Source organism: Homo sapiens, chromosome 6, assembly GCF_000001405.40.
Source record: "Homo sapiens chromosome 6, GRCh38.p14 Primary Assembly".
Taxonomy (NCBI): domain Eukaryota; kingdom Metazoa; phylum Chordata; class Mammalia; order Primates; family Hominidae; genus Homo; species Homo sapiens.
This window is the reverse complement of record NC_000006.12, coordinates 158,555,479-158,567,731: the sequence shown is the minus strand read 5'-3', so window position 1 is coordinate 158,567,731 and position 12,253 is coordinate 158,555,479. Positions and strand designations below refer to the sequence as shown.

The 12,253-nt window shown below is 51.2% G+C and overlaps 1 protein-coding gene across 14 annotated transcripts in view, besides 3 other annotated features; it reads right to left on the bottom strand.

Annotated features, from left to right (window-relative positions):
- TMEM181 (transmembrane protein 181) overlaps positions 1-12,253 on the bottom strand; it is a 98,790-nt gene that overhangs the window by 67,698 nt on the left and 18,839 nt on the right. For 6 of the 14 annotated variants that reach the window (NR_164859.1, NM_001376850.1, NM_001376852.1 and 3 more), the window contains exon 1: positions 7,500-7,641. The exons of 7 other annotated variants lie outside the window; for them this stretch is intronic. Coding sequence is in view for 5 of the 7 variants with exons in the window: in NM_001376850.1 (NP_001363779.1) it covers positions 7,500-7,507 (8 nt within the window). In the remaining 2 variants the exon portion in view is untranslated. Of the gene's footprint in view, positions 1-6,358; positions 7,035-7,499; positions 7,642-12,253 lie in introns of those variants that run through there. One more of the 14 variants, XM_047419187.1, reaches the window with a different exon arrangement.
- Positions 5,610-6,109: an enhancer, noted in NCBI's record as "H3K4me1 hESC enhancer chr6:158982655-158983154 (GRCh37/hg19 assembly coordinates)". NCBI's record gives its function as "activates a minimal SCP1, AML or CMV promoter by ChIP-STARR-seq in naive H9 embryonic stem cells {active_cell/tissue: H9 hESC(naive)}" and the evidence as "EXISTENCE:reporter gene assay evidence [ECO:0000049][PMID:30033119]".
- Positions 6,110-6,611: an enhancer, noted in NCBI's record as "H3K4me1 hESC enhancer chr6:158982153-158982654 (GRCh37/hg19 assembly coordinates)". NCBI's record gives its function as "activates a minimal SCP1, AML or CMV promoter by ChIP-STARR-seq in naive H9 embryonic stem cells {active_cell/tissue: H9 hESC(naive)}" and the evidence as "EXISTENCE:reporter gene assay evidence [ECO:0000049][PMID:30033119]".
- Positions 7,031-7,950: a silencer, noted in NCBI's record as "silent region_17739". NCBI's record gives its function as "represses an Ori minimal core promoter by ATAC-STARR-seq in GM12878 lymphoblastoid cells {active_cell/tissue: GM12878}" and the evidence as "EXISTENCE:reporter gene assay evidence [ECO:0000049][PMID:35858748]".

Here is a 12,253-nt window from a genome sequence, read left to right as displayed (position 1 = left end):
CTGCTAAGTGCAACACTGAAACCCGCGCATCCAACTCCAGAGCTTCAATTCTATGATGCTGCCCAATAGGGTCAAGCCAGACTCCAGGCTGGCCCACTCACACAGCGCTCTGCTGATCTAAGATGCTCTCTCTTCTCCCAGCAAAGCTACCTCAATCCCACCCAGCATCCAGGGTTCAGCTGTGTCCCACCTTCTCCCTGAAGTGTTCCCTCACCCTCCATCTCTCACGGCTGCCCACAGTTGAAACCATTACAACAGATGCAGTCTGCACTACACAGCAGAGTGCCTGACGGCGAACGGCTTGGCACGTGGGAGGCATACAAAATCATCTACCAAACTCAACTTCCACTCGTTATTCCAAAAGCGTTTGTGTTGTTCCCTCAAGTTGGTGGAGAGATGCTAGGCAAGGGGCTCCATGCTTCCCCACCTGCCCAGCCGGGTCAGCATGCCAGCTGAGGAAGTCCTCGGCCCAGCTACCCAGGCCAGGAAGACTTCCTAGAAAACCCCTGCCGGCTCTCAACACTGCCTCTTCTTCTTGCTGGGGCCACATGTCAGTTTCCCCTCCTGGCCCATGCAGCTTTTCACAAGAGGCATCTAATACACTCGCAAATTCTGGCCTGCCTAGAGCCGCGGGGCCCTTGGAAGATCTGTCAAAGGCAAGGAAATAAACTGTCCCCTGAAGGTCCCCTTGACTCTTTGGGCCCTTTCTAAATTAATCTCACTTTCACAGGTGCTTTAAAATATCACAGATGTGTTTCCTAGAAAAACTAAACACACCTTTACTGGAATGCCTATCCCCAAAATGGCATCCATAATGCAAATCACCGTGAGCCAGGTCTCCCCTCATTATTCATCTTTTCTTTCCCAAAAGACTGCTTCCAAGCAAGGTGAGGTTTGTGGAGTGTCTAATCCAAATGAGACAGGAGCTGGAAAACTTCCGTCGGTCTCTCCACAGCCTCATCATCACCTCCCTCAACTCCTCACCATCACCTCCCTCACCGTATCACTTCCCTCACCCCATCACCTCCCTCAACTCTTCACCATCATCTCCTTCACCCCATCACCTCCCTCACCCCATCACCTCCCTCATGAGCTCACCATCACCTCCCTCACCGTATCACCTCCCTCCACCCCATCACCTCCCTCAACTCCTCACCATCACCTCCCTCACCGTATCACCTCCCTCCACCCCATCACCTCCCTCAACTCCTCACCATCATCTCCTTCACCCCATCACCTCCCTCAGGAGCTCACCATCACCTCCCTCACCATCACCTCCCTCATCAACTCCTCGCCATCATCTTCCTCACCCCATCACCTCCCTCACCATCATCATCCTGGGACACACTGCTCTCTGTCCCCTCCCCTTCTCTACTCTCACTCCCTTGGTAATCTCATCCTGTCTCGGGCTTGCGAGAGGATGCAGGTATGAACAATGGCCTGCTCTAGACCTCAGCCCAGTCCTCTCCCCTCAACTCCAGACCCCTACTCAACCACTTGGCATGCCCGTTTGGCTATCAAGCAGGTACCTCACACATGACCTGCCTCACACCAAACCCCTGGTCCTGTGCCTGTGGCCTGGCCCATCTCAGGACACAACAACTCCAACCGTCCAGGTACACAAGCCAGGAGACTGGGAAGAATCTATTTAGATTCACCTCAGATATTCTACTAAATCCAAAGTTCTCCACCAGTACACACACCCCAGAAATAAAACAAAATTTAGAAGGAAACGCAACATACAAAGTCACATAGGCATAGAAAACCTCCTGTCTCGAGGTGCCGGGAACTGTCCTTTCAGAACGCAAGACAGCAGGCATCCCTGCTGTGGGGCACTGCCCATCCTGCGGCCACTGACAGGTCACTCCACCCCCGCCCCCACCGCGAGGCTCTGTGGGGGAAAGCAACTGTCCACTCGCCCGCAGGACACGCTGCACCAGTTTTCAGGATTTCATTGCAGGGGCTCCACTGTGGATCCACACCACACCCTCCCCACACCTGCAGCTCCCCTCCCACCCCCAGAGGCCAGCACTGAGCCTCAGGAATGGTGCAGGTCCAGTAACTTTCGATGCCTCTCATTTTTACTAACTCACTCTTCCCTGTTTTTTTCTGTTTTCCTCCATGTTCTCCTATTTTCCCTGCAATGGTAAATGGTAAGCGAACCACTGAATTGCAACATTGAACTTTCTCCCCCCAGCGTTGTCTCTTCCTGCTGTCTGTGGCTCTGGCTTTGGCCCTCTGCTTCTGTAGCTGGGGCACAGCAGTTCCTGGCAGCCCCATCCAGAAAACCTTCTCCCTGGGACCTGGTCCTTGAGGCCACAATGCTTGCTCAGGCCTGGCCAGCTGTAAAGCCATGTCCCCACTAGATGCACTGAGCACCTCGGGACCACGGCACCAACACAACTTTGCCCACTAAGTGCCTACCCCTCCCACATAGGGCTCACGAGGGGTTCAGAAAGCAGGGCCAGGAGGGCACGGCAGGGGAGGCGAGCAGTCCGCAAGCACTCAGCTGCCCTAGGACTGCTGCACAGAACCACAAAACAGATACAATCCGGGTAAGCAGAGGTCGTGAGAACACCTCAAATTGCTGTCCTGCAGCGAGAGGGACAGAGATGTGAGGGAAGCCAGCACCAGCATTCCCACTTCTACAGAACCCAGCAACACCAGCATCCGCAGCAGGGGCCCAAGGGGTGTGAGAGACACCTTCATCTCGGTCTCCGCAAACCACCACGACGGTAGGCGGGTAAGACCGAGAACTTCTGGTACTACACATCCTGCTGCTTGTTCAACTCATGCCGGCATCTCCCACATGAGAATTGACAAATTAGGATCTGAGCAGTAGTCGGGGACTTTAAATCTCCCAGCCCATTCTCACACTGTTGTTTTTATTTTTCCAATCTGTATAAAAATAATCTCTTCTCCTTTGGCCCAAAATGCCGGCCTGTTGCCTGACAGCCTGGCTCCCCACTTCCTGACCACATGACAGCAGGCAAGTAAACAGTTCCCCAGACCCTCAGTTTCCTCATCTGCAAAATGGAGAGAGGCAGAAGATTCATCTCACAGAGTTGCTGGCAGGTGCGGGTGGAATCATAAACATAGTGGTCAGAACAGCGTGGCAAGAACTCAGCCAGGCTAGCTATTAGAAACGATGGCTGTGCTTTTTCTCCTCTACTTTTTCTGTTTGAAAGCATTTTGGATTTCATTCTAACAACATCTTCAAAGACCCCACTGTATGAAGTCTCCCCTCCAGCTGGCTGCCGCAGAGGTGGGAGCTGGCATTTCCTGAGCACCTATTTGGTACCAGGCTGGGAGCTTCCCTGTAAGACAGGCACATCGGCCCATTTCACAGGTGGGAAAACACAGGCTGGGGTGAGAGGATGCAGGCCCACTGAGGCCCCAGGCAGCAGGGTGTGGAGGTGGGACTGGAACCCACAAATGCACACCCAGAATGTGGAGGTCGGGGCAGAAAGAAGGCCCACCACTCCCTCACATTCACTGTTTGGCCCCTCACTAAAATCTTTCCTTTTCAAGTAACCTACCAGCTAATGGGTTTTGAAAAGAAACTTCTCAAAGGGAGCAGGATAGGAACTCTAAAATTTCAATCAGCCAACTTGGGTATAAGTCATTTCTCTAGCTATTCAAGAGTTAAGTACAAGCCAGGCGCAGTGGCTCATGCCTGTAATCCCAGCACTTTCGGAAGCCGAGGTAGGTGCATCACCTGAGGTCAGGAGTTCAAGACCAGCCTGGCCAACATGGCAAAACCGTGTCCCTACTAAAAATACAAAAATTAGGTGTGGTGGCGCGCACCTGTAGTTCCAGCTTCTTGGGAGGCTGAGGCAGGAGAATTGCTTGAACCTGGGAGGCAAAGGTTGCAGTGAGCTGAGATCGCACCATTGCACTCCAGCCTGAGCAACAGAGTTCGCAAAGCTATTATGTGAACATTCAAGGCCTAACCACCTCAAAACACAATTTAATAAACAATGGTCTAAGCTACCCAAGGACTGGTGAGTTCATGTGTATCCTTTCCAGATTGCAAGCCCAGTGACTCACACGCAGGAGCATGTTGGTCAGTTCAGCAAATATCCTACCCAGGCCACAGGGAACAAGGAAGTAGGTCAAACGCTGGCCAGTGAGCCCCATTTCAGCACAAGCAGTGCTGGCCCTAGCAGGAGGCTCCAGGCAGTGCAGCCTGGTGGTTAGGAACCTGGGCTGGGGGCCAGCTGCCTGGACCTATCCACTGCAGGGTAACCTGGGGCAGTTACTCTACCTCTCAAGAACCCCAGTTCCTGGCCAAGCGTGGTGGCTCACACCTATAGTCCCAGCACTTTGGGAGGCTGAGGCAGGTAGATCACCTGAGGTCAGGAGTTCGAGACCAGCCTGGCCAACATGGTGAAACCCTGACTCTACTAAAAATACAAAAATTAGCCGGGCATGGTGGCACTTGCCTGTAAGCCCAGCTACTCAGGAGGCTGAGGCAGGAGAATCGCTTGAACCCGGGAGGCAGAGGTTGCAGTGAGCCGAGATCGCACCACTGCTCTCCAGCCTGGGTGACAGAGCGAGACTCTGTCTCAAAATACAAACAAACAAAACATCCCGTTTCTGAAAATTCAGGAAACTAGGGAACCCACCACCTAGCAATGCTGTGGCAATTAAATCCGTTGTGACGTGAAAACCCTTGCCAAGTAACCATGAACTGTCAGCTGTTATTGAGAGGAGCAGAGTACAGCAGTCAGGAGTGTGGGCTCTAGAGCCAGGTGGCCCAGGGTTTGGGCTCAGCTCTAAAGCCTTGAAAAACTCACTTGTCTTTTTCATACCTCAGTTTCCTCATCTGCAAAATGGGGAAAAGAGAAACTTCCTCACGAAAGGTGATAGTGAGGATTCCACGAAACAATGGATGTAAGGTGCTTACGACGGCACTTGCTACATGGTGAACACTCACAGTTATCTTTTACTATTTCTAGAGATCATTTTGGTCAGAACAAAAAACCATTCCATGAGACAAAGTCCTAAATAATTAAATGATTGCAGGAATAGGATACTGACCCAAGCCTGGTGTGCCCTCAAAAGCACTGGGAGACTCAGGAGGCCCAGGACCCTGAAACCACAGCAGGGCTCCAGGATACTTAATTTGTCTGTGCCATGCTTTGCTGCTAGCCGAAGGTGGTTCTAATTAATACACTTCTACATTGAAATGCCCCCAGGATGAAAAAGACACATAAAATACACACTAAAAAATGGCTTCACGTGCCAAGCAAGACACACACACACACACACACACACACACAAAAACAGCCTTATTTAAATTTGCAGAGAAATGCTAAAGTAAGACCAAAGCAACATGTGAGCATGAGAGTCTCAACTCCGTGCAGCCCTGTAGCTCAAACAAGTCAGGTTAGCAAATGAGACGCCCCACACCGTCCTCAGACTCCTAGCACCTCTCCCGTCCCTAGCATCATCAGAGAAGGAATGGAGACTGCAGGAGAGTTCAAGGTAAAACTGTTAAGAACTGCTAACCTTTTTTGCTGATGAGTTTTGATGGCAATCTCTCCTACATTTTTAAAGAGCAGGCTGGGCCGAATGAGAGTCAGAGGTCATAAGGCCAGGGTCTGCAGGGGGACGGTCCCCTACACACCGTAAGCAGAGTGGTGGAGCTGCCCCTGCTCCTCCAAGCGGCTCTGTTCTCTCCCATTCTTTCCCTGGACTTCTCTTCTTTCTCACCTTTCTCACCTCTGGGCTCTCAGGCACACCAGACAAGGACAGAGAACACTCAGTCACCTAAGTCCAGGACGCACTTCGGATTTTCAGGCTTGTTTTTTAGGAGGATTTTATCTGCTACCAAACTCTTCTCAGTTTCCAGGTAGGTGCCTGGAATGCTGGCCGATGGTGGTGGGCTGATTTCCAGATACCCTCATCCCCCTCCGTCTTCCCTAACCCTCTTAGTGCTCCACAGAGCCTGAGGCACAAAGCGCTTACAGCTGCAGGGGGAGGCCTCAAACTCGCACAAAATTCAAGCTGCGTTTTGCTTGTCCTCCTCGGGACCTTTCCTTGGTCAACTGCTTTCTTTGGTCTAGTTCCCTGTCCTGTAACAGCGCAGGACCCTGGCAGAAGACCCAGATCCCTGTCCTGGCCAAGGCCCTCACCACCTCACGTCCCCGGCCTCTCTCCTACTGAAAAAGCACACCCAGCCCACCTATGCAGCTCCAAGGGGCAGCGCGTGAGAGAACTCCTGTAACACGCAGCTGTCACTCTGCTACAAGGCCACAGTTCCACAAGACACCGTTCCAAGCAGTATTATTTACATAGGCCGCACAAGAATCTTGCCCTCTGGAGTTGTGCAGAGGCAATACTGCTAACCTACCTCCACTTGGCTTTTAAAATCTTTAAAACATCCACATAGGTCTGATATTTGATGCCATTCCAGTTTCCCAAGAGGTGCTAAAGCAACATACCAAAGTCAGAAACTTCTAAGGAAGCAGAAGGAAAAACAGATCTCTCTGTCACAGGCACTTGCGCTGAGGCAACAGGCCTGGGTGTCACTTCTCTGACCACGTCCACAGCCAGAGAAATCAGCAAAGATCCAAAGCAAAACCCTTCTGCCTCAAAAACCGCATATAAGCCAAGAAGCGCGCCCAGGCCCCTCGGAGGCTGCCTTCAGTGCAGGGAGCCGGCCCTGGAAGCCTCCTGCGCCAGGCGCGGCTGCACATATGGGCCACTCCTTCTCCCGGACTTTCTGCAACTCCACGCGGCGCTAACCCTCTGGTTAACTCCGTCTCCTTCTTTTCCAGATGCGCCCAGGGGGACACCTAGGCGACTGCTGGGTCAAAAGCAAGCTTTAGGGATGGCGTCCACGAGACCCCAAACAGGTTTTTCCTCATTAAAAACCCTGGACTTCAAAGAGGTAAAGAAAAAAAAAAAAGCCCAAAGTCAGCAGATCGTAAAACGCATAAAACTCATATAACTCGACACCCCGAGTCCAAAGGGGCTGTTGCGGCAGGCTCCCCGGTGCCCACGTCACCAATCGCCTCTGAGAGCCTCGCACCCGGCGCTGGGCGAGACCGCAGGGCAGCGCGGGGCGCTCTCGATACCGAGGGGACGACGGGGCGGGGCCTTTCCGGCAGGAGAGGCTGCCCGGGAGGCGGCGGGACTCCGTGCGGGCGGCCACCCTACGCCGGGGAAGGGCCGCAGCGCCCCCGGTTCTCTCGGCCCCCCGGTGAGCGCTGTGGCTCGCAGCCCCGTCCCGGAACCCCGACCGCATCCCGGTCTCTAACCGCGGCCGGGCGGGCAGGCAGGAGGGAGCCCCGGCCCCGGTCTACTCTCGCCCCGCGCAAACACCTCCGCCTGACCCGCCCGCGAAGCCCCCTTCAGCGCCCTTTTCCCTGCCCCCAGTTCCACGTGGGCGCCAGGGACCCTGCGGCACGGCGCCGGGAGCCAGGGATCCCCAACTTTCGGCCGGAGTGTCCGGAGAGCCAGCCAGCCCGCCCGCTCGGCCGGGGACTCACGGCTCCATCTCGGCGCCCAGAGCCCTCGGCCCCGGCCCGCGCGTCCCGAGCCCGCCAGGCGCCGCGCAGCAGCCTCGGCAGCGGCAGCCGCAGCCGGAGCCGGAGCGACAGCGGCTGAGCAGCGGCCGGCCGCGGAAAACTCATCAGAGCGCGACGCCGAGATCACGTGCGCGGAAGCGACTCTCACGGCGGAAGAGGGCGCGGCGCGGTGGAAGCGGGGCCGCGGGCGCGCGGCGAGGGGGGTGGCCCTCCTTCGTGGCCCCGTGCCGGGGCGGAGCCCCACGGCCGGGAGCACCCAGGCTAGCCCTGAGCTGGGGCTCAAGACAGAAGGAATGAGTGAATGAATGACTTAGTTTACCTCTTGTCCCTAGGGCAGGTAAACAGCGCATTCATTCACTCCTACTTCCCGAGTGTCGGGGCGTAAGGATGGGCCTCGGGAGTCCACGAATGCCCTGCAGTTGTCTGGAAAACACTATGGGTGTCTGCATTTTTCTAGGGAGAGGAGCTATAGCTGTATATTCATTCCCTAAGGGTCTTGTGACCCCAAAAAAGGTTAAAAGCCAGGACAAACTTCTGCCACCCCGAATGATGACAGGAACCTTCCGGGCTCTTTCTGGTAGCTTCTCCCGCAAGCCGCTTCTAGACTGCAGCTAGACCAGTGGACCAAAAGCACTTTCCTGATTTCGCATCTTGGCTCAGTGTTCCCCATTTCTGTAATCAAGAATGGATGAGAACCAAGGTTTGGCTATTTCTGAGATTCTCTTTGGAGCATTACTCAAAATGTCCCGTGTTCCCGTGTGCTGTGGGTTTAAAGTCGGTCTGCATGAGTTAAATAAAGGACTTCCAAGCTTCCTTTGCAATGTATCCTCATTCATTCACTAAACTGTAAACAGGCTTACTATTGGCAGAAAAGTGTGGACATGAATAAGGAACAGTTCCTGCCCTCAGTGAAATTACAGGCAAAGAAAATTACCAACAGTAAGTTAGGTAGCCTTAGCTCAGGGTGCTACAGTGAGGAAGGGTGCCTAACTCGCCTTGGGGGAGTGGAGAAGGTAGGGGACAGAATGCAGAGTTTGGGCTGAATCTGGAGGGTGAGGTGGATATTAGGAAGAGGGGGGTTAAAAGGGGGAGATACCAAGCAAAGCACACCCTAAGCCAGGACACCAAGGAATAGTTACACAAAATCTCATTAGTGCTCTGAATCCTAAACCGCAACTCTTCAAGGAATAACAAAAGATTATTTCTTAAGTTCTTTTCATACATAAGCAGAGGGAAAGGGTTCTTCATAGCAACAAGACCGGAGAACAGAAACTGGGTACCTGCAGGGACAGACTGTTCACAGGGACGTGGGGCGCGGGAAGGGGTGAGTCGGAGGGAGTTCTATGAGCTAGAGCAGGGGTCCCCAACCCCGGAGCCTGTTAAATTACAGACGTGAGCCACCGCAACCAGCCCAAACATGCGTTTTCATGCAACACCTTCTGTTAAATGTTTAGGCCTGAGGATGCCTCCCTACTTGAGTCCTTACATAAGGAGCTGCAGCCTGGCATAGTTAACATAAAAGAGAAGACACCCTAATTGAGGAGGATGCTTTTGTAACAAACAGCTGAGTCTCAGCCAATCACAGCCAGTGAGCTTCTGTCATTGGCAGGTGGTTAGCTGATTCAAATAAGCTAGAACATAAACCTGTAACCAGTTAAGCTGTCTCTGCGCCTCAGTTCCACTTTCTGTCCATAAATGTTGTCTAACCACGTTGCAGCCCCAAAGTCCTTTGAACCTGTTGGTTCTGAGGGCTGCCCGATTCTAGAATCATGAAGAAAAGCTACTTAGGATCTTTAAATTTGCTGTCATTTTGTCTTTCGACACTTCTGATTCTAAAATGTTGGAAACTAATTCGAAAAAATATCTTAAACCCTGGGAGGGACTAAACAAAGCACATTTGCTGGCCACATTTGCCTAGAGGCAGCCAGTATCTACCTCCAGCCCAGAGCAGCATGAGATGATGTGGAAATCCCTGCTCTGTGCCAGCTGCCTGGTCTCTCCTGAGGCATCTCCAGCGAGAGGAAACTGTCACCACCCCGAGGACCCCTGGCCCTCACTGTGTGCATTTGACTCCAAACTACCTCCTGGCAATTCCTTCCTGTCAGATCTCCCTGGATTTGCTGTCCAGCGTCACCCAGGTCAGCATGAGCCCTCTCCCAACACTCCTTCAAGGATGTGAACAACCACATGGCCCTCAGCTCCTCTTCTCCCGTCATACTCGTTTTCTCATTTATTTGTTCTTCAAACATTAATGGAGCAGTGTGTGTGTGCCAGGAACAACTCTCAGCTCTGGAAACACAACACGAATAGACAGATGAGGTCCCTGTCCTTTTCTAGTCAAGAACAAACAATAACCTAAATAATTACTTAATTGACCGGGCATGGGCATGGTGGCTCACGCCTATAATCCCAGCACTTTGGGAAGGTGAGGCGGGGATCACCTGAGCTCAGGAGTTCAAGACCATCTTGGCCAATATGGCGAAATCCATCTCTACTAAAAATACAAAAATTAGCTGGGCGTGATGGCGGGTGCCTGTAATCCCAGGTACTTGGGAGGCTGAAGCAGGAGAATTGCTTAAACCCAGGGGGTGGAGCTTGCAGTGAGCCAAGATCACGCCACTGCACTCCAGCCTGAGCAACAGAGCAAGACTCTGTCTCAAATAAATAAATAAATAAATAAATAAATAATTACAGCTGTGATAGAAAAGGAAATGAAAGGTGCTATGATCATGTTATGAAAAGGGGAAAGGGACCCAAACTATTCTGGGCTCTAAGAAGCCTGGTGTGATCTATCAGCCATTTCTCACATGACCTGTTTGTTTTTGAGACAGAGTCTCCCTGTCACCCAGGCTAGAATGCAGTGGCGCAATCTCGGCTCACTGCAGCCTCTGCCTCCCACTCAAAAGATCCTCCGGCCTCAGTCTCCCATGTAGCTGAGACTACAGGTGTGCACTAACACAACCAGCTAATTTTGTATTTTTTGTAGAGACAAGGTTTCACTATGTTGTCCAGGCTGGTCTTGAACTCCTGGGCTCAAGCAGTCTGCCTGCCTCAGCCTCCCAAAGTGCTGGGATCCTAGGAGGTGCACCGCCTTTGGAGATAAGCTACTGTGAAAGTTGTCAGAATTAAAATGGAGTCACTTGTATTAAAAACAGGCCAGGTGCAGTGGCTCATGCCTATAATCCCAGCACTTTGGGAGGCTGAAGAGCACGGATCACTTGAGCTCAGGAGTTTGAGACCAGCTTGGCCAACAAAATACAAAAATTACCTGAGTGTGGTGGCAGGTGCCTGTAATCCCAGCTAGTCATGAGGCTGAGGCAAGAGAATCACTTGAACCCAGGAGGCAGAGGTTACAGTGAGCCAAGATGGCGTCACTGCACTCTAGCCTGGGCAACAGAGCGAGACTCCATCTCAAAAAAAATACCAAAAACAATCCTGACAAATAGAGCCAGAGAACACCATGAAGAGGATTCTCGTGCATAAATGCTTGATAACAAAAACCATAACAAAAGACTATAAAAACCATAACCTTGCACAAAGACCATCGCAATCTTACACTTTTGCGAGGACATCTGCCCAGTAACTGCCTGTCCAACGCGAGACTGGCATCCCCCTTGTGAGTGATCCTTGTAGCCAAGAATAATTAACTCAAAACAATTATGTAATCCTCCCCATTGTTCCTTTAAAAACCTTCATCTTTCTATACCTCCCTGAAAAGGCACATAGTTCACTATGGCACATATATTCCCATTGCAATGCCCTATTCCTGGATAAATATCATTTCTTTTAGAGAGCCTCTTTGTTTGTTATTTAGGTTGACGCAAATGTGTCAGAAATGGAATCGGGAAAAGGATCACTACGGGAAGGAAGTGATGATTCTTAGAACGGGTGTGTGGTACTCACTTGAGCCCTCTGAACTCTGCTGGCACAGCTTGCCTTTTTGGCCAAGGCGACTCTTCTCTCAGGCCCACGCTCCCTCTTTTTGGTAGCAGCTTTTTCATATTATTCTGGATTCGTTTTGGTTATAAGGCTGCCTTACATCCCTACTGGGATGATAAAAGACTTTTTTGTCTTTTCTGAAAAGTCCTTGTTGGTAGAAAGACATGCTGGTTTGAGTACTCTGGTTTCTGCAGAATTGACATTCTGTCTCTGAGACGTGTCTTTTCTGGTTAATTTACTTTTGCTTCTTTCTGCATGTCTAATTTAATATTTTGTTTGATCTGCATGCTGAGTTAAAGCTTGTGACTACACTGATTTTGGTTTAGTTATGTGTCTATAAATGATTCGTCTTTTTTCCCTTGCTTGTTTCTGAAAAATCTTCCAAGAGAAAAACATTCTAAACGGTGGGCGCACGATGGCTAGTTAAAAGCCGCCATCTAAACATTGTCCAAACTCCTGACATTCGCTGACAGAATTTATAGGGTTTCCTTTGCTCCTGAGAGATTAATAAAAAGCAGAATGGGATTCTCAAGTCAAGTCAATGGGATTCTCTCAAGTCTTCTGGGACTCCAGCTAGCTGTATATTATGGCTTCTTTTCACGCACATTTTTAAGCTAATAGACAAATTACATCATGAAACATTCAGAACTCAAATGATCATTATCTGAATTCTCTAAAAACACCTCTGAAACTATACAGTTAGCATGTAGAGTCTTCTAAATTCTCTATCTCTATTTTTTTCTGCTTACTTTAAATCTGCTGACTTTTCTACTGGA